The sequence below is a fragment of the Homo sapiens genome, chromosome 20, assembly GCF_000001405.40.
Source record: "Homo sapiens chromosome 20, GRCh38.p14 Primary Assembly".
In the NCBI taxonomy this organism is placed as follows: domain Eukaryota; kingdom Metazoa; phylum Chordata; class Mammalia; order Primates; family Hominidae; genus Homo; species Homo sapiens.
Genome location: NC_000020.11, coordinates 31,761,977 through 31,788,936, shown reverse-complemented (window position 1 = coordinate 31,788,936; position 26,960 = coordinate 31,761,977). Strand labels below are relative to the sequence as shown.

Below are 26,960 nucleotides of genomic sequence, written 5' to 3'. Positions count from 1 at the left end.
CCCAGGGCAGTTAGGAAACTACTCTGAAGCAATGTTATTTTGGGAAGTATATATATTTTAAAAAAGCCTGCTGCCCTCCCCAAGTCATCCCTAAAGTATCTCTGCTAAAATTACTCACTGGTCTCACTGACACCACATCCACCTCCGTGGTGCCCCGGCTGCCCAATAGAGGTCAGCACCAAGTTCACATTTCACACCCTCGTGCTCAAGGCTTTGTCACTCCACCTCTGCCCCAGGAGTCCTTTTCTCATTTCTGCCTCACTTGGGCCCACTGCTGCCCAAGCCCATCTTTCATCAACTCTATTTATTGTCCCCCTGCCACTTATCAACCACAAGTGGAAGTGCAGAGGAAACACTGTAAGGACACACGAAACAGCTTCAGCACTGGGGGGGACGTGGATGGGGAACAAAAGCATCAGACAGACAAGCTGCATCAGGCTCTGGAAGGTGGGCTCTTAAATTCTGCTGTAAAAGTCCAACACTAGAAGTTCAAAGACTTTTTTTTTTTTTTTTTTTTTTGAGACAGAGTCTCGCTCTGTTGCCCAGGATGGAGTGCAGTGGTGCAATCTCAGCTCACTGCAACCTCCACCTCCTGGGTTCATGCAATTCTCCTGCCTCAGCCTCCTGAGTAGCTAGGAGTACAGGTGCCTGCCACCACGCCCGGCTAATTTTTTTTGTATTTAGTAGAGACAGGGTTTCACCATGTTGGGCAGGCTGGTCTCCAACTCCTGACCTCAGGTGATCAGCCCACCTTGGCTTCCCAAAGTGTTGGGATTACAGGCGTGAGCCACCGCGCCTGGCCGACTTACTCTCTTATAAATGTTTCTTTTAAATGTTTCCATAGGCAAGCTATAATCCCCTGTGAAAGGAAAATAAATCTTGGGACCCCCAAAATCAGTAAGCCAAGGAGAAAAGTCAAGCTAGGAACTTCAACATGCAAACCTGCCTCCCATTCAAAGATGAAAAAGGTACATACCTCCCTCACAATTTGCCCACTTGAAAATTCCTTGGGGGCCCCAAGTTCTTCACCCTAAAACAGTTCTGTTGAATTTCACCCTGACAATATAAATTGATAGCTTATCTTCACAGGTACAGGACAAAGGACAGAACTCAAAGTCATCCCTTGGCTCACCTGAGAAATGCGTATCTGATTGCTTCCTCTGCCCTAATTATCTTATGTAAAAATGCAGATTCACTGAACTAGATGAATGCATAAGTAACTATTCCTCTACCCCCTCTCACATGTGAACAAAGAATGCAACCATTTGCCTCTTACCTACCCATACCTTTTCAAAATCTCTTCCCCTTTCCCCACTATCCACCCTTTCCCCTTAAAATATGAAGCCCTCAAAATCATCTTTGGAGAAAGGTACAGACCTGTCTCCCAGGCATGCATCCTTAACCTTAGCAAAATAAACTTCTAAATTGATTGAGACCTGTCTCATACTTTTTGGTTTGCACCCCTTTCAAAACCTCCCTTTCTGAAAAGTGAAGCGGGTAGAAGAAAACACATCTAACATCTCTTCCTATGCTATGCTTCTCTAGAAACCAAGAGTTGAAGTCAAATCACTGGAAATTTTAGTAGGGAAACCTGCAAACAGCCAGTGTCAAACTCAGAAACCTCATTTGCCAAAATAAATATGATAACAGTAAGCATTGTAGGGTACAATAATACAGTGTTTAAGGAGATGATGGGCTCAGATTCTGGTTCTGCATACTAGATACCTCTCAGTGTTTATTCCCTTGTCTGAAAAATAGGGATAAGTATAGACTCCACCTCTTAGAAGTGTAATCAGACATAAATAAGACAATCTACATAAAGTACTCAGGACAATGTAAGCACTCAATAAAATGACAATTACTATTAATAATACCCCTGCTTACTGCGTGTCAGGCACCATACTCAGTGCTTTATCTGGGCTCCCTCTGTGATGTACCCAACAAATCTGTTTATGTAATAAGAGCCCCAGAGGATTCTGAGAACCAGCTGGATTTGGCAAACACTTCCATTCCGCAAATCGTATCAATTCGGTCACACCTTACCTAGTGCTTTGCAGATCTGTTTACACAGAATTTTCACAGGTATAACCTGGTACCCAACTACTCTAAGATCTCAACTAACTCCTAATGAACTCTGGTCACCCTTCCCTACTTACTACTTCACCCTAGCATTTCTAGAGTACACACAACTGACAAACCAATTTCCTAATCAGTGTTTTCAAAAATGTAGTTCAGCTGGGTGCAGTGGCTCACGCCTACTATCCTAGCACTTTGGGAGGCCAAGGCAGGTGGATTGCTTGAGACCACGAGCTCAAGACCAGCCTGGGCAACATGGCGAAACCCAGTCATTACTAAAAATACAAAACTTAGCTGGGCATGGTGGTGTGTGCCTGTATTCCCAGCTACTCAGGAGGCTGAGGCATGAGAATTGGTTGAACCTGGGAAGCAGAGGTTGCAGTGAGCTGAGATTACACCACTACATTTCTGCACTCTAGCCTGGGCAACAGAGTGAGATTGTCTCAAAAAAAAAAAAAAACAGTAGTTCAGGTGTGACTGATGCTATGAGAAAGGATCTTAGGTGAGGTGTAGACTGTTGTTTTTTTTTTTTTTAAATAAGCACATACTTCCTAAGAACCTTCTATTTTAAAAGGTAACCTCTATTTTTATATAACAGCATGGACCCTGGAATCATATCACCTAAGATTCGTATGCTAGCTCTGCCGCTCACTAGTTTGTGATTTTGGGCAAGTTATTTAACCTCTATGTTTCCTAACTGTAAAATGGATTAAGTACCTACAGTGCTTACCTCATAGGGTTGTTGTGAGAATTAAGTGCATTATTATATAAATGTAAAAAGCTTAGAATAAAGACCTGGCATGTAATAAGCATTATATAAGTATTAGCTATTATTGCTGTGTTATTTGTGGCAAAAGGTACTGGTTTTCCATTTACATATTTATTTAAAAGTTCCCTTTAAATTTACGTTAGGTTACAAAGTGAGTTGATTTTTAAAATAATAATATTGGTATGTAAGGTACAAGGATATAGGACAAATTGAGAGAGTGGTACATAAATAAAAACAAAAACTTAGGTAGGGGGAAAAGCTTGGAGGAAAATATGTTATTAAAAGCAAGGTGCCAGCCAGGCACGGTGGCTCACGCCTGTAATCCCAGCACTCTGGGAGGCCAAGGCGGGTGGATCACCTGAGGTCAGGAGTTCGAGACCAGCCGGGCTAACAAGGCGAAACCCCGTCTCTACTATAAATACGAAAATTAGCCAGGCGTGGTGGCATGCGCCTGTAATCCCAACTACTCGGGAGGCTAAGGTGGGAGAATCGCTTAAACCCGGGAGGCGGAGGTTGCCATGAGCCGAGATCACGCCATTGCACTCCAGCCTGGGCAACAAGAGCTAAACTCCAACTCAAAAAAAAAAAACAAAACAAAAAACCAAAAGCAAGGTGCCAAAAGAGTGTTATAGAAACCCTGAAGAAATAATTTCTCTTATCTGGGGCTCCATTATCTTGTATGTAAAACTAAACGTTGAGCCCTTCTGGCTCTACAACTCTGAGGTTTGCATATAACCTACTTTTCCCTTGTTGTATTCACAACACTGTTTCCTCAATGGGTAAAGACAAAGAAGGCACAGCCCTTGGAGATTAATCACTTGGGTGGGGGAAGATTTCTTAACAGTTTATTGTAACAGAGCTTGGCATATAGTACATATGCATCATGGCAGGGAAAAAAAAGCATCGTGAACAGAAGTCACGCAAAAAGCTCTCAATCAAAAGTAGGTATCAGGGAGGAGAACCATTTCTAAGCATAATCATGATTTTTGTAAAGCCTGGAAAATATAACTTCAAGTTGCTTCTGATTTAGTGCTAAGAAAATACAATAAACAAAACTAGGTACTCAGTCAAAGGTAATACATTGGTGCAGTTTCCCCTAAAAGCATGGTGACTCTAAAGCAAGCAAAAAGAAAGAAGATAGGAAAACAGAGTGCTTCTAGAGTTATCCCGGACCTGCATCAATCCAGGCAATCCAAACCAGTGGCGGCGGGTGAGGTCCTCATCTGCACTGAAATGTAACTAAAAGCCGCTTTCGCATTTATGCAGGTGCTTAACTCCATTGCTTATTCTCTGACTGTAGCCTTGCTTCCTGATTGCACATTTTCTCTAAACTTGTGGTTGTGAGCCTATTATCAAACTACAACTCACTTCTCTGAAACAGTTTCCAGTGGCTCTTGATAAACTTTTCTCCAGCTTAACTGACCCACTAACAGCTCCCAGTAGAAGCTTCTTGTTTCCCACCGTCAGGCTTTTTATCATGTAATTCCTACTGCCTGGAATGTTCTGCCAATCCAGTCCATTTGCATTTCTGCAAGTCAAAATTCTATCATGTAATGGAGAGGCATATAATGAGGTATTAGGATCACAGACTCTGTAGCTAGAGTGTCTGAACTCTTACTTGCTCCACCATGTACTAGCTGAGTGCTCTAGGAATACTACATAACCTCTGTGTGCCTCGGTTACCTCATCTGAAACAGGTGATAAAATAACCCACCTAAAGGGGTTGTTGTCAAAACTAATGGGCTAATATATGAAAAGGGCTTAGAGCAGTCCTGGCACACAGTAAAATTGTCAGCTATTATGACAACAATAGCAACACAATAACTATTACTACAGTACATCGTCAAGGCTCAGGTCAAATGTGCCTCTCTACAAAGCACACCCTGAACTTTCTATCTGGAAGAAACCATTTTCTCCTCTGAATTCCTATTTTAACTGTCATCTCTCTCAGAACACTTCTGTCCATTTTCTATTATTCACACATATATTGTCTCCCATACCAGACTTTGAGTTAACTAAAAGCAAAATCCACTTCCGATAAGTCTCTTTATCACCTGCAGTTCCTAATATGATGCCCTGCTCATAATATCTACCCAAACTTTTGTGTGAATGGGTGGATATCTGGTCATGAGCAGTACACTTCTGCCAGCACACATAGCCTCAACCTTACCACAACATCTTCCAAAATCTTAGTAGGGCAAGGTCTGGAATGAAATTCAAAGTGTTCATCCTCTGTTTTCTTCTTTGATTCTCGCTCCTGGATTCTTTTCTCAATTTCCAAATCAAAGCCAATAGGCTCGGTGGGTGGTTTCACAGGTGGTTTCTTGGGCAAGATGGGCCCACCTTCAAGTATTCTGGGATCAAGTTCACGTGCTTTGAATTTGTATCTGTAAGGTGAAAATTTAAATAACCACAAAAAAAATTTTAATAAAATGAAAACTTCACAAACAAAGTAAGCCAACCACAAAGAATAGTAATCATTAAGATTATGCTCCCATTGACTGGACAACAGAATAAAATAAATAAAAACGAAAAACAATGGGCCAGGCACGGTGGCTCATGCCCGTAATCCCAGCACTTTGGGAAGCCAAGGTGAGCAGATAATTTGAGGTCAGGAGTTCAAGACCAGCCTGGCCAACACAGTGAAACCCCATCTCTACTAAAAATACAAAAATTAGCTGGGCGTGGTGGTGCACACCTGTAATCCCAGCTACTAGGGAGGCTGAGGCAGGAGAATCTCTTGAACCCAGGAGGCGGAGGTTGCAGTGAGCTTAGAGGCACCACTGCACTCCAGCCTGAGCAACAAGAGCGAAACTCCATCTCAAAAAAAATAAATAAATAAAAAATAATAAAAGAATAAAAGAAGAAAGAATAAATCAGACAGTCCTAACATCCCTACCACTTAAGAATTGAGGCTTCACTTCACAGAAGAAGCTCCCCCTCCTCAAAAGAAGCACAAAAAGGAATGGAAGAAGGATACAGGAAATAAACTCCAATGCTACGAATCACACTAAGTTTCCATTTCCCTCCACTAATAATAGCTGTAACAATCCCTTGGGGAGTCACAAAAGGGTGGGATCTACCTAACTTAACCTTAGAGGGCATTCCTTAATTGAAATCCTAAGTAAGTTCTTCTACTGCAACCTCTGGATTAGATTTTGTGTGTGTGTGTGTGTGTGTGTGTGTGTGTGTGTGTGTGTGTATGTGTGTATGTGCAAGACAGTCTCGCTTTGTCACCCAAGCTGGAGTATATTGGCGTGATCTTGGCTCACTGAAGCATTGACCTCCTGGGTTCAGGCTGCCCCCTAGTAGGTGGGACTACAGACGCATGCCACCATGCCCAGCTAATTTTTTTTTGGTATTTGTTGTAGAGATGGGGTTTCACCATGTTGCCCAGGCTGGTCTCAAACTCCTGGACTCAAGTGATCCTCTTGCCTCGGCCTCCCAAGGTACTGGGATTACAGGTGTGAACCACCACACCCAGCCTGGATTCAATTTTTACCAGTTTATACTCCAGAACATCTCCATATTCCCACTATAGTCCTTAAATCATATAGGCAGGGGCGTAGCCTGCAGAGCCTACTACTCAAATGCCATAAATTTTTACGGAAAGAAAAATAGCAACTGTCACCCTAACAGAACTGAAAATAAAGTAGGCAGGTTCGTGGAACTCTTCCTCAGATACTGCCAGTGGGACTTACTGTTGCAATTTCTCGAGCTCCTCAGCCTCCAGCTCTGCTGTACTTTTGCAGGTCACAGCCCGTGCACGGTGTTTGGTTTGCAGTACAGGAGTCTGTGGGTCTCTGCAAATCTTGGTCACAGAAGATTTGGAGGGTAACAGGTCTGTAAACAGAGATGACAGATGTTCATCTAGATCCGCAAGACCCAGTTTACTTGTAAGTGGTGATTCACCTATGTAGCCCAGAGAGGGATAAACCAACCACAGAGTGGTGGGCCCACAACAGTCAGCTCAGCTTACATTGGTCAAACCAACCAACATTCAGTTACTTCTCCCCTATTCCTCTTTTATTGAGGGGTATGACTAAGGTAGCCTTTGGGTAAACTCTACTGTCATCTTCTGAACTGAAAATCCATCCATGTCTGACAGGTTCCTTATCACTGCACGGGCCTAGACTGACTTTCTTTTTTTTGAGACAGGGTCTCACTCTGTTGCCCAGGCTAGAGTGCAGGGGCATAAAGGCTCACTACAAATCCAACCTCCCTGGACTCAGGTGATCTTCCCACCTCAGCCTCCCAAGCAGCTGGGATTACAGGCATGCACCACCATGCCCAGCTAATTTTTATATTCTTTGTAGAGACAGGGTTTCACTATGTTGCCCAGGCTGGTCTTGAACTACTGGGCTCAAGCAATCCACCCACCTCAGCCTCCCAAAGTGCTGGGATTATAGGCGTTAAGCCACTGTGCCTGGCCAGGCCTATACTTTCTATTGACAATGCCAATTATTTTGCTTGTTATTAACACAAAAAATTTTTGCTTATTCCAGCTTTAAGATATAAGGCCTTCCTGGCCGGTCACAGTGGCTCACGCCTGTAATCCCAGCACTTTGGGAGGCCGAGGCAGGGGGATCACGAGGTCAGGAGATCGAGACCATCCTGGCTAACACGGTGAAATCCCGTCTCTATTAAAAATACAAAAAATTAACCGGGCGTGGTGGCAGGCGCCTGTAGTCTCAGCTACTCGGGAGGCTGAGGCAGGAGAATGGCATGAACCTGGAAGGCGGAGCATGCAGTGAGCCAAGTGAGCCAAATGAGCGCCACTGCACTCTGGCCTAGGCGACAGAGCGAGACTCTGTCTCAAAAAAAAAAAAAAAAAAAAAGATATAAGGCCTTCCTAAAGACCAAGTAAAGCCTGAACAGAATGGCTCAAACCTGTAATTCTAGCAATTTAGAAGGCCAAAGCAGGAGAACTGCTTGAGGCCAGGAGCTCAAGACCAGCCTGGGCAACATAATGAGACCCTGTCTCCTAAGAAAATATAAAAATTAGGTAAGCATGGTGGCATGCACCTATATATAGTCCCAATTACTTGGAAGGCTAAGGCAGGAGGATTGCTTGAGCCCAGGAGTTGGACACTGAAGTGAGCCATGATCACGCCACTGCACTCCAGCCTGGGTGACGGAGCAAGACCCTGTCTCTAAAAAGCAAAACAAGAAGGAAAATAAATAAATAAATAAATAACAAAAGAAGACCAAGTGAAAACTCCCAATTTTATGAAATCAATATAAAAGCATCAAGACCACATCTTACAGAAAATCAAATGGAGAAAGTTAAAAACTATGTTAAAGCATCAATATTAAGACATCACCACCACTCATTGAAAATATTAATTTACCTGGCCAGTGAAACCTTGTCAATTTTCATAACTAATATAGAATGAATCTTTCAATTTAGGTCTTGTCACATAACAGTGGTAGATCAAAACCAAATCTATTTTAGAAATAAGCCATGTTTCAAAGATACATGTAACCATTATTTAGCTGTAACTGTACAAAGTTTTAAATAAAAATTGCATAATATAATTTCTCTTTCCTTTTGCCAGGACTAGTATTCTGAAAGCAGGACATATCAGACTCTGAGTCATATATTATTTGAAAAGTTATGCTTAATATTTAAATTTCCATTAGAATAAAGAAGAATATTTCATTATTTTCATACTATAAAATCTAACAAAATCATTTTGGCCACTAGAACATAATAATAATATTAAAAAATGCTGTACTTGGCCAGGCGCAGTGGCTCACACCTGTAATCACAGCACTTTGGGAGGTTGAGGCGGGCGGATCACTTGAGGCCAGGAGTTCAAGACCAGCCTGGCCAACAGAGCAAAACTTGGTCTCTACTTAAAATCCAAAAAGTAGCTGGGCATGGTGGCACACACCTGTAATCCCAGCTACTCGGGAAGCTGAGGCACGAGAATCTCTTGCACCCAAGAGGTGGACGTTGCAGTGAGTCGAGATCGCGCCACTGCACTCCAGCCTGGGTGATGACACCCAGAACGAGACTCTGTCTCAAAAAAAATGCCTATGCAAGGATATAAAAAATTTAGAGATCCTCAAAGGTAAAACAACCACATTCTGCTTTATCCAGAATACTATCCCTATACTCCCAACAACTATTTAATACCACCTCCACCCTTCAGATTTCATCTTCCTTCTTGCAGAAATTATTTCCATAAAGATAGAAACTATTACATTAGAATCCGCTCATCTGCTCACCACCAAATCTACAAACTCCCCCAGTATTTGCACCCATTCCTCCCACTCTTCCATCCTCCTTTTAAAGAACACTCACTCCACCTGTGCTAAGTATCCCTCCAATACCTGCCTGCTCAGGGACTTAATCCATTAGTTATCTCCTCTCTCTCGTACCTTCAGCTTCTTTATCTCTGACGAGACTTCTCAACATTCAGACATGCTCTCCCTATCTCCCACCTCCTTTGACTCTTGCACCTCCCTCCTCCTCAAAATCCCCTGCCATAATTTGTAGTGACCTGTTTATCTAATGACAGTTTAAGAATGCAAAGAACTAATTAGTGTATCTCTAATGACAGAGATAAATAGGTCACTACAAATTATGGTAAAGGCTTTTGAAACTTGATGTCGAGTTTTGAAACTTGAATTAGAAACCTGATGTTGAGTAGCACCAAGTCTATTTTATTTACCTCTATATACCTAACACAGTGTGCCTGGTTAGTAGTAGTAAAAATTTTGGTGGACCACTGAATAAAAAGCACATAGCCTTGAATGAATGAAATGCCTTCATTTTCTATAGGTAACTAAATGCAATGTGACACTTTGACACATGGCAAAAAAATGTCCGTTAAGGATGTGTAATGACATCTCAGGTTACCTTAACTCATTCCCCTTGGCCAATTATTGATGAGGAGGATCAAGACGGTTGATGGGTATAAGACAGACAGCTGGGTGGTTTGAAAAATTCTGAAGGATACATTTGTTGTCTGCATAGTCACACGCCATACTTTAATTGAAAAACTAGGATTTCAGCTAAAGACAAATCTGTGCCTAAGATGTAAGCAGAGGGAATGTAGGAGAGGTTCCATCCAACTGTGATACTGGTAGGAAACTTACTAATATCATCCTTCTTGCTCCTCAAATGATATCTGTTAGGGGTTCGTTTATGGAAGTCTTCAACTTGCTGTGCAAGGGGCACATATGTAGAAACTGTTTCATCAAATGTTCTTTTCTTTCCTTGGGACAGGTTGAAAGGCTTAACAATGGTACATCCCTTAGTCACTCGGGCCTGTAAAGAGAAAAGTTGTTCCCCAAATGAAATGTCACGGAAGAGCTCACATCTACCATAAGCCACATATTCGGCACAGAGGATCAATAAAAAAGGCCTGTGTAAAACCAAGATTATTATTCTGAAGTTTGTCAGTCCTTGAGCAAGGGTTATAACTAATCTGTTCTCATTAAAAAAAATTAAAAATGGAAGAAAGGATCTAGCACTTAACAAATCTTATGTTCTGGAATAGTACATAGGTAATTTCCCCCCAACCATGTCAATGTTTTGAAGGAATCCAGAGTAAGCTATCTTAGAATTGAAGACAAAAAGCACTGCAAAGAAATCTCACCCTCAACTCCACTTTAAAAAAAAAAATTGATTGGGCCTCTGGGTATGCATCAGGTCAGGCAGCTTCCTGAATCAGTGGAATCTCTCCATACATCCCCTAAAGAGACTGATGAAGAAGCCTATTCCTATTCCTTGGACCAGTAATTTTGATAAAACTGGTCTCTAATTGGAAGCAAAACCCTTCAAGGACCTGTATCTCAAAGAAAGAAGCATAACCTCAGGGTTTAAGAATGCAAATAACTAATTTCAAAAAATGATGATACTGACTACAAATGCAAGTGGAGATTATTAGTACTAGCATTTTTACTTAACGATTATTACTGATTTTGTTGGTGCTCTGGTAACAAAACTGCATGAGATTTGACTGGTCTGCCCCAACCCTATTTTTCCTATAAGATCTGTTATATTGGCCAGGCATGATGGCTCACACTTGTAATCCCAGCACTTTGGGAGGCTGAGGCAGGTGGATCGCCTGAGGTCAGGAGTTTGAGACCAGCCTGGCTAACATGGGGATACCCTGTCTCTACAAAATACAAAAATTAGCTGGGAGTGGTGGCAGGCGCCTGTAATCTCAGCTACTTGGGAGGCTGAGGCAGGAGAATTACTTGAACCCGGGAGGCGGAGGTTACAGTGAGCCGAAATCGTGCCATTGCACTCCAGCCTGGGCGACAAAAGTGAAACTCCATCTCAAAAAAAAAAAAAGATCTGTTATATTTTACACAACTTTATAGACACAAGGTTTTTTTTCTCAATTATACTATTATAAACAGTGACCACAAATGCTACACGTAAAATCCTAAATGAATATTAGTAACAGAAATGTTCATTTAGTCCATCAACTTACAGGAGATGAAGGATGCTTTCGTAGTTCAGATGTAAAGTTCACTTCCTTATATTCCTCCTGGTTCTTAGGATGTTGTTTGATTCGCTCATCTGTGCGGAAGTGGAAGTCAACTGATTTGGTGACCTGGCTCACTGATTTCTTCACAGGTTGCCCTGAGAGATGAACACAGTAAAACATACAGACAACATTAAGATAGGGAACACCAGTAAATCCCCTTTACTCCAGTCCTTTTGCTATTTCTGTCACCATGGATCTAACTTTGCTTACTATCTACCTGTAACCCAAAACTTGAAGTAGTCCTCAGGGACACTAATATATGTGTCATATTCACTGAGTACTATTAGGTTTGAGGCCTTTCAGTCAGATGCAAACTAAAAAAAAGTAGTAGCACAGGGTAGAAGAATCCCATCTCCTAGGTGTGGTCATAGCTATGGAGAAAAAGAATAACTGGAATACTTTTGATAAGAAAAGCTATGGATTGACTTTGAAAGCACAGTTAACTCAGCATCTCTAAGAGGAAAATCCTATAAACTCCAGGGGTGCTTTTTCAATCCAGTAAGGAGAACTTTATAGTTATGACTCCACCAATAACAACTCTATGCCCGAGCAAAGCAGAACTGTGACCCCTTCAGCTCTCTCAGTCATATTTTTCCTCCACAGGTGAATTGGATTTGACTGTTTTCTTTTCCTTTGCCTTTAGAAAAAAATAGGAAAACAACAAACTGGTCTGCCCAATTACTTTATCTTCTGTCTCAATCCAAGTTCCTTTTTTTCCCTAAGACCAAGAACAGACTTTTAAGAAAGTACCAGTGAGCCAGGCACGGTGGCTCATGCCTGTAATCCCAGCACTCTGGGAGGCTGAGGTGGGCGGATCACCTGACGCCAGGAGCTCGAGACCAGCCTGGCCAACATGATGAAATCCCATCTCTACTAAAACTACAAAGAACTAGCCAGACGTGGTGGTGGACCCCTGTAATCCCAGCTACTCAGGAGGCTGAAACAGGAGAATTGCTTGAACCCGGGAGGCAGAGGTTGTGTTGAGCGGAGATCACGCCACTGCACTCCAGCCTGGGCAACAAGAGCAAAACTCTGTCTCAGAAAAAAAAAAAAAGAAAGAAAGTACCGATATATTTAAGTACCAATATATGTAAAATACCAATATATGTAGAAAGTGCTAAGGAATAAACACATCTTTTTTATGCTGACTACTAAATGAGAAAGCCTTTTTATTTACTTCAGAGACTTCAAAAACACCTACTGGCCGGGTGCGGTGGCTCACGCCTGTAATCCCAGCACTTTGGGAGGCCGAGGCGGGTGGATCATGAGGTCAGGAGATGGAGACCATCCTGGCTAACAAGGTGAAACCCCGTCTCTACTAAAAATACAAAAAATTAGCCGGGCGCGGTGGCGGGCGCCTGTAGTCCCAGCTACTCGGGAGGCTGAGGCAGGAGAATGGCGTGAACCTGGGAAGCGGAGCTTGCAGTGAGCCGAGATTGCGCCACTGCAGTCCGCAGTCCGGCCTGGGCGACAGAGCGAGACTCCGTCTCAAAAAAAAAAAAAAAAAAAAAAAAAAAAAAAAAAAAAAAAACACCTACCAAGAGTGTTAAGAACCACCCCTCATGAATCAGACTCAACCACAGCCAAGCTCACCTATTCCAGCCAGAGCAAGTTTCTTGAATTCTTCATTCTTTTTCCGCATCTCCACCACCTCTTGCTGCATTTTCATACTCTTCTCCAGCTCTTGCTCCTCAGTACTTTTTAGAAACTTCTGCCTAAAGAGAAAATCAGTAAATGAGAAGAGAGGAGAGGAGAAAGGCACCCAGTGACTCAAAAGAATCTACAGGCATTATATAATATTTTTAACCTGTGATAAGATAATCATCAAAACCAAAAAATATCATCTAATAAATAGATGCTAACTTAATTAGATAACACCATGAAAATAAATAAAAATGCACACTTTGGCCAGGCATGGTGGCTCATGTCTATAATCCCAGCACTTTGGGAGGCCAAGGTGGGCAGATCACCTGAGGTCAGGAGTTCAAGACCATCCTGGCCAACATGGTAAAATCCTGTCTCTACTACAAATACAAAAATTAGGCAGGTGTGATGGCACACACCTGTAATTCTAGCTACTGGGGAGGCTGAGGCAAGAGAATTGCTTGAACCTGGGAGGGGGAGGTTGCAGGGAGCCAAGATCACGCCACTGCACTCCAGCCTGGCCACAGAGCGAGACTCCATCTCAAAAAAAATAAATAAATAAAGACAAGAAAATGCACACTTTATACCAAAATACTGAAAAAATTTCAGAAGAAAATAACTAAAATAGATTAAAATATATTACAAAATATCCATAAATATGATCATAAACGATGAGATTGGACTGGGTGCAGTGGCTCATGCCTGTAACCCAGCACTTTGGGAGGCCGAGGCGGGTGGATGACCTGAGGTCAGGAGTTCGAGACCAACCTGGCCAACATGGTGAAACCCCATCTTACTAAAAATACAAAAATTAGCCAGATGTAGTGGCAGGCACCTGTAATCCTAGCTACTCGGGAGGCTGAGGCAGGAGAATCGCTAGAACCCGGGAGGTGGAGGTTGCAGTGAGCTAAGATCACGCCACTGTACTCCAGCCTGGGCAACAGAGTGAGACTCCATCTCCAAAAACAACAACAGCAACAACAACAAAAAAGATTAGGTTGTAAGCCACAAGAAAAACTAAAAGACCAGTAGAAGCCTAGTGCAATGGCATGCCCTTGTAATCCCAGCTACTTGGAAGGCTGAGGCAAAAATATTGCTTGAGCCCAAGAGTTCAAGACCAGCCTAGGCAACACAGCAAGGCCCTGTCTCAAAAACAAAAACAAAAAAAGACCAGTAGAATGAGGAAAGTATCTACAACCTAGGGTTAATACACATAAAACACATGTAACAGAAGGAAGAAACTCAGAAGTAAAGCCGACTAAATCCCAACCCTGTCATTTCATTTGCTGCCTATAATGATCTTGAGAAAACTATTTAACTTCCCTGAGCCTCAGTTTTCCCCACTGTGAAATGGGAGTGTAAATACTCATGTTCACATCCTATTTATGACTGTTCAATCAGATGATGTCTCTGAAGTGCTTGACACATGGTAATGTTCAACACAGAGTATCCATTCTTAGTAAGGAAAATATCACCAAGGACACTTATAGGCAAATAAGGTTACCAATAAGAAAAAAAATAAAAAGGAAACAGATAATTCACCCAAGAGGAAATATGGAAAAATGTTTACAATAGTAGCAGTAATACAATCTTGTCAGCAAATACATAAAAATTAAAATAATTTGATGCTGGGGGTTGGGGGAAATGGGGAGATGACGATTAAAGAGTACAACAAATCTCAGACAAGAGGAAAAAGATTTTTCTTTTGCTCTACTGCACAGGGTGGAGGATATCATTAGTAATCGTAATACACTAAGAGAATAAATTCCAGCCAGGCGCGGTGGCTCATGCCTGTAATCCCAGCACTTTGGGAGGCTGAGGCAGGTGGATCACCTGTCAGGAGTTTGAGACCAGCCTGGCCAACGTGGTAAAACCCCATCTCTACTAAACATACAAAAATTAGCTGGGTATAGTGGCAAGTGCCAGTAATCCCAGCTACTCGGGAGGCTGAGGGAGGAGAATCACTTGAACACGGGAAGCGGAGGTTGCAGTAAGCTGAGATCTCACCACTGCACTCCAGCCTGAACAACAAGAGAGAAACTCCATCTCGATAAAAAAAAAAAAAAATCCAAATGTTCTCACTACAAAAAGTGGTAAGTATTTGAGGTGACAGATATGTTAATTAGCTAGATTTAATTATTCCAAATTGTAGTCATGAATCATAACATCACTTTGTACTGTATAAATATATACAACTATAAATTATCAATTTACAATTAAATTTTTAAAATAATAATTTCATGCCATCTATATGAATTTAAAAAAAGAAACAATTTTATAAGTTAATAAACAATGCAGATGAGATAATAAGAAAATAAAAATATTCATTCAAAGCCAATGGCACTTCAGGCCAGGCATGGTGGCTCACACCTATACCCAGCACTTTGAGAGGCTGAGGCGGGCAGATCACTTGAGGTCAGGAGTTCGAGACCAGCCTGGCTAACATCATGAAACCCCATCTCTACTAAAAATACAAAAATTAGCCGGGGCCAGGCATGGTGGCTCACACCTGTAATCCCAGCACTTTGGGAGGCTGAGGCAGACAGATCCCTTGAGGTCAGGAATTCAAGACCAGCCTGGCCAACATGGTGAAACTCCATCTCTACTAAAAATAAAAAATGAGCCAGGTGTGGTGGCAGGTGCCTGTAATCCCAGCCACATGGGAGACTGAGGCAGAAGAATTGCTTGAACGTGGGAGGCAGAGGTTGCAGTGAGCCGAAATCGTGCCACTGCATTCCAGCCTGGGCAACAGAGCGAGACTCCGTCTCACAAAAAAAAAAAAAAAAAAAAAAAATTAGCCGGGTGTGGTGATGCATGCCTATAATCCCAGCTACTCAGGAGGCTGAGGTAGGAGAATCACTTGAACCCAGGAGGCGGAGGTTGCAGTGAGCCAAGATTGCGCCACTGTACTCCAACCTGGGTGACAGGGTGAGACTCCATCTCAAAAAAAAAAAAAAAAAAAAAAAGCCGATGGCACTATAAATTGGTACTTCCATTTCAGAAGTAAAATTGGCAATAAATATCAACACTGACAAAACTGGTCATACCCTGTGGGGAATTTCTCCTTCCTTATTCTGAGAAGATCACTCAAAGAAATGGTTCTGCCTATAAAGTTGTTGACTGAGTACTTATAATCATGAAAAGCTGGAAACTACATTTTCAACAGAAAATAGTTAAATATATTTTGATAGAATATTAACAATCTATCAAAAAAGGATAAATGTGAAAATTTTGTAGCAGCACAGAAACAAAATCTGAAATAATCTCATGGCAAGTCAATAAAGCAGAACCCAAGGTTTTGTATTAACTGATTGTGAAAATATGTATGCTGGCTTGGGTAAAATCCAGCAGGGAGGTTGGAAAAATAAAAAATGTTCAATCTACGTGGTAAGAACTGTTGCTAACTTTTTCCTTTTATATTTCTTTTAAATTTGCTTCAACAGTATATTTTTCTGACTGTTCAAGATCTGAGCACCAGCCAGCACTGTGGCTCAAATCTGTAATCCCAGCACTTTGGGAGACCAAGGCAAGAGGACTGCTTGAGGCCAGGAGTTTGAGAGCCTGGGCAACATAGTGAAATCCCATCTCTACAAAAACATGTAAAAGTTAGCCAGGTAGGCTGGGCACAGTGGCTCACACCTGTAATCCCAGCACTGTGGGAGGCCAAGGTGGGCAGATAACTTAAAGTCAGGAATTCGAGACCAGCCTGGCCAACATGGTGAAACCCCATCTCTACTAAAAATACAAAAATTAGCCGGGTGTGGTGGTGCACACCTGTAATCCGGGCTACTCGGGAGGCTGAGGCAGGAGAATTGTTTGAACTCGGGAGGCAGAGGTTGCAGTAAGCCAAGATCATGCCACTGCACTCCAGCCTGGGAAACAGAGTGAGCCTCTGTCTCAAAAAAAAAAAAAAAAAAAGTTAGCCAGGCATGATAGTGCATGCCTATAGTCCCAGCTACTTGGGAGGCTGAGGTGGGAGGATCACGTAAGCCCAGGAGGTCAAGGATGCAGTGAGCCATGATTGCATCACTGCACACCAACCTAGGCAACAGAATGAGGCCCTGTCTTTAAAATTAATTAATTAAATAAAAATTTAAAAATCTGAGCACCCATCAGGACACATGTAACAATTCACCTCACCATGGTCAAAGCTTCAGGAGTTTGCCAACCTCCAGGTACACCAAACAGGTTGTAGATGTAAATCTGTAATTTTATACCATTCATTCTAAAGTTTAAATTCAGGAAAGAAACTTACTTTGCAGGTGGCATACAAGGCACAGTATGTCTACCCTTGGCTTTCTCTGGGGAAGATGCATTCTTTTCAGCAGTATCTTGATGAGCACTGCCTTCTTCCTCTGGCTTCTTTTTGTTGTTAGAACTTGAGTTCAAAAGGACAAAAAATATGTTTTCAATTCCCTGAAGCATAGCCTGTACCCTCCTCCCCAAATCTACTGCATATGGATTAAATTTTCTCATTCTATAGGATAACAAGCATGCTTCGACCACATGATTCTTCCAACAGTATCATTAGATCATATATATTAATGGCTTCAATGAGTAAACTTTGAGAAAGCCAACCGCTATCAAGATAAGAGTTATCTAGTGGTGGTTTGGAAGAGTAAGGAGGGACTCTAACTGCTCACCATCAAATGATCAAATGGCAGAGTTAATTGCCATCCCAATATCTATTCTGTCTCTTTCTCATTAACAAAACCCCAATTTCGGGAGGAGCAGCAACGCACTAAGCTACAAGTAAGTATTGTACTTGCCTCAACAGCCTCTACTGCAACTAGGGAATCCAAGTGACACAAGTCTAGGCGAATGAAATGAAATTTAAGGGTTGCTGCGAAAGACTTAAGTTTCCTGATATAGATGCTGCCCTTTTTCCTTTACTGTACTCTTCTTCTTCTCTTAAACATAAATATAACACCTAGAGATACACCAGCCATCTTGTGCCAGTGAGACAACAAGCAAAAGAAAAAATCTAAGAAACACAGAGCAGCATCTTGAAGAACAAGTACGAAAAAAAAAAAAAAAAAGCTAAAAATCAGCCACTGAACCAAAGCCAGCAGCAAACTACTTTTAGACCTCTGTGAAACAAATAATTCATTATTCTTTAAACCACTCCAGTTGAAGACTATTACTTGCAGCAAAATACATTCTTAACTAATAAAAATATAAACAAACATCATGTATGCAGCTTGTTATTAGCCGTAAAAACAAAAAGAGGTAAAACCTATGCCAACTAAGATGTGAGTGCCCTCCAGGACACACGTAACAATTCACCTCACCATGGTCACAGTTTTAGGCATTTCTCAAGCTTGAGGTACACCAAACATATTACAGATGTACCATTTTTAATTTTAATCTATTCAATCTAAAGTGTAAATTCAGAAAAGAAACTTACAAGTGGTATACAAGGTACAATATGTCTGCCCTTGGCAGTAAGAAGTTGTGGCTACTCACACTTTCATTTTCTTAGAGGGTAGAATTTCATCGATGATTACAGGAGTGGCACATCTCTTGGCTTTCATTTTTACATGATGCTTTTCTTTCTGTTCCAAATCCTTCTGAGCAGAAAGCCTAAGAGATCTTCTATGGTAGAGAAATTGACAAAATATATAATAAATATATATACTACAGATATCCAAATGTTCCTGAGAAATGTGAAAGGATGTCAAACTACAAAGGGCAATAAAATGGAGTGCTATTATCTCTGCTCTAAAAATCTAATCTCTCTTGTTGATAGTTTTTGAAATTCAACCATAACATTTTAGTTCTTAAATACACCGGTGTCTATAAATGTGACCTCAATAAAATGATTAAAAAGAAAAACTTGGCTGGGCCTGGTAGCTCATGCTTGCCATCCTAGCACTTTGGAAAGCTGCGGCAGGAGGACTGCTTGAGGCCAGGAGTTCAGACCAGCATGGGCAACATATCAAGACCCTGTCTCTACAAAAAATTTTTTAAAAATTAGCCCTACGTGCTGGTGCGCATCTGTGGTGCTAGATACTTAGGAAGCTGGGGCGGAAGAATCACATGAGCCCAGGAGGTCAAGGCTGCAGTAAGCCATGAGCGTGCCACTGCATGCCAGCCTGGGCAACAGAGTAAGACTCTGTCTAAAAATAAATAAATCAATAAGATGAATACAAAACAAAGAGCATAATGACAGATCTAATACATACCAAAAAGTGCACAAAACAAAAATACTTAAATGACTACAAAGTGGAAGACCTTATGAAATCACCACCTAGGCCAAAATACAGAACACTGACAACCACTGCTACCTTGATTTTAAGAGTGATCATTAGATAGGCTGGGCGCGGTGGCTCACGCCTGTAATCCCAGCACTTTGGGAGGCCGAGGCAGGCGGATCACCAGGTCAGGAGATCGAGACCATCCTGGATAACATGGTGAAACCCCGTCTCTACTAAAAATACAGAAAAAAAAAATTAGCCAGGCGTGGCGGCGGGCGCCTGTAGTCCCAGCTACTTGAGAGGCTGAGGCAGGAGAATGGCGTGAACCCGGGAGGCGGAGCTTGCAGTGAACCGAGATCGCACCACTGCACTCCAGCCTAGGCAACAGAGCGAGACTCCGCCTTGAAAAAAAAAAAAAAAAAGCGTGATCATTAGATAATTTCCTTATTGTTTTACCAAATAAGCACGTATTACGTAAACATGGTATGTTAGTTTCGAAGAAAAACAAAAAATTTTGTGGTTTTTTTTTTTTATTATTATACTTTAAGTTTTAGGGTACATGTGCACAATGGGCAGGTTAGTTACATATGTATACATGTGCCATGCTGGTGTGCTGCACCCAAAAATTTTGTATAATGTAACCACACTACTACAAGTATTCTTTTCTGTCTGGCTTATCTCACTCAACTTTATGTATGTGAGATTCAACCACGACAATTCACACAGCTCTAATTCACTGACTTTCATTGCTGTATAATATTCATTGTAGGGATGTGCAACTATTTATTCAGTCTACTATTGATGGGTTATCTCCTCATTTTAACTATTCTAAAAAAAATAAGATTGCTGGGTCATAGGAAATTAATGTGCTTTTCTCTGATGATCAGTGAAACTGAGTACATTTTCACATGTGTATCGGCCATTTGGTTGTCCCTTTTCGTAAGTGCTAGTTTAAGTCGTTTGCCTGTTTTCTACTGGCTTGTCAATTCTTTACTAATTGATTTGTAATTCTTTGTATACTCTGGATATAAGCCCTTTGTAGGATTCATGGGTTACAAATAGTTTCTCCTACTCTAGGGGTTGGCTTTTCATCTCTTTATCTTTTAATTAGATAAATGTGCCTGAATTTATCAACCTCTTCCACCCCCATTATGGTCAGTGCTTTTCTGTGTGTGTCCTGTTTAAGAAATCTTTCCGGCCGGGCACAGTGGCTCACGCCTGTAATCCCAGCACTTTAGGAGGCCACGGTGGGCGGATTACAAGGTCAGGAGATTGAGACCATCCTGGCTAACACGGTGAAACCCCGTCTCTACTAAAAATACAAAAAAAAAAAAAAAATTAGCCGCGCGTAGTGGCGGGCGCCTGTAGTCCCAGCTACTCAGGAGGCTGAGGCAGGAGAATCACTTGAACCCGGGAGGCGGAGGTTGCAGTGAGCCAAGATCGCCCACTGCACTCCAGCCTGGGCGACAGAGCGAGACTCGTCTGAAAAAAAAAAAAGGATGGCATGTGTCGGGCATGGTGGCTCACGCCTGTAATCTCAGCACTCTAGGAGGCATAGGTGGGCAGATCGCTTGAGCTCAGGAGATCAAGACCAGCCTGGACAACATGGAAAGACACTATCTCTACAAAAAATACGAAAATTAGCTGGCCACCTGGTGCCCTGCACCTGTAGTCTCCACTACTCAGGAGGCTAAGGCAGAAGGATTGCTTACACCTGAGAGGTCGAGGCTGCAGTGAGCCAAGATCATGCCATTGCACTCCAGCCTGGGCAACAGAGCAAGACCCTCTCTCAAAAAAAAAAAAAAGATGAAATTTTTGAGGCAAAATTTCAGAAGCAAGAAAACCACAGAGAGGGTAAACACTAAACTCTGATTATAAACTCTACTCTGGCCTGGGTGCAGTGGCTCATGCCTGTAATCCTAACACTTTGGGAGGCATAGGTGGGTGGATTGCTTGAGCTCGAGTTTGTGACCAGCCTAGGCAACATCGTAAAACCTTGTCTGTACAAGAAATACAAAAATATTAGCTGAGCACAGTGGCTTGTGCCTGTAGTCCCAGCTACGCAGGAGGTTGAGGTGGGAAGACTGCTTGAGCCCAGGAGGTTGTGGCTACAGTGAGCCATGATCATGCCACTGCACTCCAGCCTGGGTAACTGAGCAAGACTCTGTCTCAAAAATAAATAAAATAAAAATTTGTCTATTGGCTGGATGCGGTGGTTTATGCCTATATAGTCTCAGCACTTTGGGAGGCTGAGGCAGGAGGATCACTTGAACCCAGGAGTTCGAGTCTGCAGTGAACTATGTGCCACTGCACTCCAGCTCCAGCCTGGGTGACAGAACAAGACCCTGTCTCAAAGAAAAAAAAGAAAAAGAGAGCTAAAGTAATACAGAAGAACAAAGATATTTGACATCAGGAAGATGTAACAATTATATCCATACAAGGCCTTTGGAAACAGATTGATAAGAGTTTGAATCTTGGCTCTGAAATAAACTTGCCTTAAGCAAGCAACTTAGTATCTCTGAGACCTTATCTATAAATTAATTAAGCATATTACCTACAACTCATAAATGTTATACAGATTTTTTTTAATTTATACCAACCACACAAACCCATATTATGAGGATTTTTAAAGGTAACATAGCTGGGCGCAGTAGCTCACGCCTGTAATCCTAGCAGTTTGGGAGGCTGAGGCGGGTGGGTCACCTGAGGTCAGGAGTTTGAGACCAGCCTGGCCAACATGGCAAAACCCTATCTCTACTAAAAATACAAAAATTAGCCGGGTGTGGTGGCAGGTGCCTATAATCCCAGCTACTCAGGAGGCTGAGGCAGGAGAATTGCTTGAACACGGTGGGGCAGAGGTTGCAGTGAGCCAAGATCATGCCACTTCACTCCAGCCTGGGCAAAAGAGCGAAACACTCCGTCTCAAAAAAAAAAAAAAAAAAAAAGTAACATAAAGGTGTCCATAAACACAGTATAGACACATAATAGATGTTCTGTCCAGTAACTATCCTTTGAACATTATTATCATAACCACCACTTTGAGATTCCAAAGTCTTACCTCTGAGGCTGGGCTGGAGTTTTTCTTGATATGGCTGCCTCAACTTCCAGGGAAGAACAAGCATTTGACGGAATGGATTGTTCCACAAGATTTTCTTTTTCTGCCTCTTTGTAGTAAGTGTTGTCAACTGCGGAAGACCAAAAGCTAGTCAGCACTCAAAGGCCAAGGAAAATAATTGGAGATGAGACACACACACACACACACACACACACACACACACACACACACCCTGTCTAAGCCACAGAAACCTTAGTTCCAGTTAAATCTTATACAGAAGACCAGTTTATAAAAGCTACTTTGGTTGAAACAGAAATGATGTATCCAGGGCTTGCCTATTTGCCAGCCTAAGGTACTACCTTTAAAAAAAGCATCCCAAACACAATCTCATGACATTTCAGGACACTGGTAAAGATAAAATTCTGAAAGCTTCCATAAAGAAGAAAAAAAATCACTTACAAAGTAAGGAAAATTAGATAAGCACTGAATTTTTCATCAGCAATACATAAAAATAGAAGATAAAGGAACAATGTCTTTAGAGTAGTGATAAAAAATAATTTGCAATCTATAATGCTGTATTAAGATAAACTTTCAATTGTATATAAAAGTGAAACAATGCCATTTTCAAATATGTGAGAACTCAAAGTTTTTCTCTCCTGCACTAATTTAAGAAAGTTTCCTGAGGATGCACTCCCACATAATGAAGGAGTATATCCAGAAGAAAGTTATAAGGTCCAGGAAACAAGGCAGCAAAGATAGTAAAAATAATAATGCTCTCCCAAAAAAGTAGTAATAACTTCCAAGGATCATTGTCCAATATGAAGCAAGATAAAGTGTGGCAGAAATTTAAGAAATTGATAAAGTTTAAAGAAAAGCAAATCCACTGATCTCCTGATGTCAGAATCATCTTTATGTGGCTCAGGGGTTGTGACAATACAACCAAAGATAGCCAAAGAGTACCAAGAAGGGATGCAACTGCATCACAGTTATTGATCTGGCATTGAACAATATTTATATAATCATAACATTGTAAATACTGCTGATATAATCATACTATCAGGCATTATGAATGTAACCACAGCACAAGTTAAAATAGTGAGTTAAAACAGCTACTGGGAAGACGGAGGCAGGAAGATCACTTGAGCCCAGGATTTTGAGACCAGCTTGGGCAACACAGTGAGATCCCACCTGTAAAACAAAATATAAAAACAAACAACAACAACAACAACAAAACCAATATGAGTTTGAGAAAAAGGACAGGGGGTAGGGATGGGAAGAGAAAGGGGTTATTTTAACATAAACTCTAAGTATTGTTAGCCATGTTACCATGGCCATGTTTTATTTTGATAAACGTTTTTTTTTTTTTTTTTTGCTTTTCAATATTATATAAATAGAGATGGGGGTCTCAGTATATTGCCCAGGCTGGTCTCAAACTCCTGGCCTCAATCAATCCTCTCATTTTGGCCTCCCAAAGTACTGGGATTACAGGCATGAACTACAAGCCCAGCCTTGATAAACATTTTTAACGAAATAGAAAAAAAGTGTTATGGGAACACTGAGAAAGTTAGCCAGACATGGTGGAATGTGCCTGTAGTCCCAGTTACTCAGGAGGCTGAGGCAAGAGGATCACTTGAGCCCAGGAGGTCAAGGCTGCAGGGAGCTGTGATCATGCCACTGCTCTATAGATGGGGTGACACACTGAGACCCTGTCTGCAAAAAAAAAAACAAAAACAAAAAAACAAAACAGAATAAGAAACAAGTAAAGGCTTCATGGAAGAAACAGCACTTAATCACATAGCATATGAACTGACTCCTGATAAAGGAATTAAACTGCAACAAGATGACAGGGAAGAAAAGATAGGCCATGAAAACATAGTTTAGGCATTATTCATTTCAGAGAACAATCATTTGGTTCATCTCCTAAAGAAATATTTTTGGGGCAGAGAGACTCACACGCACACACAAAATAATAGCATAGCATGTCAAGGCTAAAATAGATGCATTTATTCCAATTAAAATGCAGCAACAATAATATTAAATAATAAAGCAAGACCCAATTATATGCTGTCTACAAAAAAATGCACTTTAAATATAGACATACCATGCTAAAACCAATCAAAAGAAAACTAGAGTGGCTATATTAATATCAGGCAAAGTAGGTTTCAGAGCACAGAATTTCAATGGGGATAAAGAAGATCATTTCAAACTGTTAAAGTGGGGCCAGGCACAGTGGCTCAACCTGTAATCCCAGAACTTTGGAAGGCTGAGGTGGGTGGAGCACTTGAGCCCAGGAGTTCAAAACCAGCCTAGGCAACATGGCAAAATTCTGTCTCTACAAAAAATACAAAAACTAGCTAGGCATGGTAGTGGCATCTGTGGTCCCAGCTACTCAAGAGGCTGAGGTAAGAGGATCACCTGTGCCCAGGAGGTAGAGGCTGCAGTGAGGCGTGATTGCTCCACTGCAGTCCAGCCTGGGTGACAGAGTGAGACCCTGTCTCAAAAATATATACATATACATGTATGTGTACATGTATGTACACATACATGTATATGTACATATATACACACATACATGTATATTAGATGTATGTACATATATATATGCTTGTGTGTATATATATGTGTGTATGTGTGTGTGTATATATATGTATATAATTTTTTGTTTTTGAGATGGAGTCTTGCTCTATCGCCCAGGCTGGAGTACAGTGGCATGATCTTGGCTCACTGCAGCCTCCGCCTCCCAGGTTTCAGCGATTCTCCTACCTCAGCCTCCCGAGTAGCTGGGACTACAGGTGCGCACCACCACACCCGGCTAATTTTTGTATTTTTCAGTAGAGACAGGGTTTCACCATATTGGCCAGGCTGGTCTCGAACTCCTGACCTTGTGATCCGCCCACCTCAGCCTCCCAAAGTGCTGGGATTACAGGCATGAGGTATCACGTCCAGCCAAAAAAAAAAAAAAAATTAAATTTAAATTAAATTAAATTTAAATTAAATTAAAGTGGCCAATTCATCAACGTGACATAACAATCCTAAACATTTATGCATCTAATAGTAGCTTCAAACTATATGAAGCAAAAATTATAAAGATAAAGAGACAAATCCATAATTACAGTCTGAGATTTCACTACCTCTCTCTCTAATTGATGGAACAAATGGAAAGAAAAATTAGTAAGAATACAACAGCCATAAATAATGTATAAGCAGGACAGGCGCAGTAGCTCACGCCTGTAATCCCAGCACTTTCAGAGGCCGAGGCAGGTAGATCACCTGAGGTCAGGAGTTCGAGACCAGCCTGGCCAAAATGGTGAAACTCCATCTCTATTAAAAATACAAAAATTATCTAGGGGTGGTGGCAGATGCCTGTAATCCCAGCTACTCCAGAGGCTGAGGCAGGAGAATCACTTGAACCCGGGGGGCGGAGGTTGCAGTAAGCCAAGATCGCACCACTGCACTCCAGCCTGGGCAACAAGAGTGAGACTCTGTCTCAAGAAAAAAAACCTAAAATTCACATGGAACCACAAAAGACCCCATATAGCCAAACCAATCCTATGCAAAGAGAACAAAGCTGAAGGCATCAAATTACCAGCCTTCAAAATACATTACAAAGCTATAGTAACCATAACAGCATGGTACTGGCATAAAAACAGACACACAGACAAATGGAATAGGATAGAGAACCCAGGAAAAAATCCACGTATTTATAGCCAACTGATTTTTGACAACAGCACCAAGAACATTCCTTGGTGGAGGGACAGTCTTTTCAATAAATGGTGCTAGCTTTGGGAGGCTGAAGTGGTAGGATTGTTTAAGCCCAGGAATTCTGAGACAAGCCTAGGCAATAGAGTAAGACCTCATCTCTAAAATAAAATTTAAATTTGAAAAATCAAAAAATGGTGCTGATCAAACTAGATATTTAAATGCAGAAAAATGAAACTAGACATCTATTTCTTACCATATACAAAAATCAACTCAAAATGGATTAAAGACTAATATGTAAGACCTTAAACTATGAAACAACTAAAAACATAGGGGAGGCCGAGGGCGGTGGTTCATGACTCTAATCCCAGCACTTTGGGAGGCCGAGGTGGGAGGATCACTTGAAGTCAGGAGTTCAAGACCAGCCTGACCGACATCACGAAACCCCATCTCTACTAAAAATACAAAAATTAGCTGGGTGTGGTGGTGCGCGCCTGTAGTCACAACTACTTGGGAGGTTGGGGCAGGAGGATCACTTGAACCCGGGAGGCGGAGGTTGCAGTGAGCCGAGATCGTACTACTGCACTCCAGCCTGGGCAACAGAGTGAGACTCTGTCTCAAAAATAAATAAATAAAGTAATAAAATAAAAACATAGGTGAAATACTTTAGGACACGGTTCTGGGCAAAGATCCTATGAACATGACCTCAAAAGTATAGGCAACAAAAGCAAAAGTAGACAAATGGGATTATATTAAATTTAAAACTTTCTGCACAGCAGAGGAAACAATCAACAGAGTGAAGAGACAACTAAAGAATGGGAGAAAATACGTGCTAACTATTCATTCAAGAAGGGACTAATATCCAGAATACACAAGGAACTCAAATAACTCAACAGCCGGACAAATGAGCTGAACAGACATCTCTCAAAAGAACACATACAAATGGCAAACAGGTATGTGAAAAAATGCTCAACATCACTAATCATCAGGGAAATGCAAATTAAAAATCA

General features: G+C 41.5%; 1 protein-coding gene across 6 annotated transcripts in view, besides 2 other annotated features; it reads right to left on the bottom strand.

Annotated features, from left to right (window-relative positions):
* TPX2 (TPX2 microtubule nucleation factor) overlaps window positions 1-26,960 on the bottom strand; it is a 62,511-nt gene that overhangs the window by 12,864 nt on the left and 22,687 nt on the right. For all 6 annotated transcript variants that reach the window (NM_012112.5, XM_011528700.4, XM_011528699.3 and 3 more), the window contains 8 exons: window positions 22,255-22,381; window positions 18,466-18,594; window positions 17,255-17,377; window positions 12,949-13,070; window positions 11,299-11,450; window positions 9,953-10,124; window positions 6,547-6,688; window positions 5,016-5,232 (listed from right to left, as the gene is read on the bottom strand). In NM_012112.5, the coding sequence (NP_036244.2) occupies window positions 5,016-5,232; window positions 6,547-6,688; window positions 9,953-10,124; window positions 11,299-11,450; window positions 12,949-13,070; window positions 17,255-17,377; window positions 18,466-18,594; window positions 22,255-22,381 (1,184 nt within the window). The remainder of the gene's footprint in view (window positions 1-5,015; window positions 5,233-6,546; window positions 6,689-9,952; window positions 10,125-11,298; window positions 11,451-12,948; window positions 13,071-17,254; window positions 17,378-18,465; window positions 18,595-22,254; window positions 22,382-26,960) is intronic.
* Window positions 182-681: an enhancer, noted in NCBI's record as "H3K27ac hESC enhancer chr20:30376059-30376558 (GRCh37/hg19 assembly coordinates)". NCBI's record gives its function as "activates a minimal SCP1, AML or CMV promoter by ChIP-STARR-seq in primed H9 embryonic stem cells {active_cell/tissue: H9 hESC(primed)}" and the evidence as "EXISTENCE:reporter gene assay evidence [ECO:0000049][PMID:30033119]".
* Window positions 2,818-3,317: an enhancer, noted in NCBI's record as "H3K27ac hESC enhancer chr20:30373423-30373922 (GRCh37/hg19 assembly coordinates)". NCBI's record gives its function as "activates a minimal SCP1, AML or CMV promoter by ChIP-STARR-seq in naive H9 embryonic stem cells {active_cell/tissue: H9 hESC(naive)}" and the evidence as "EXISTENCE:reporter gene assay evidence [ECO:0000049][PMID:30033119]".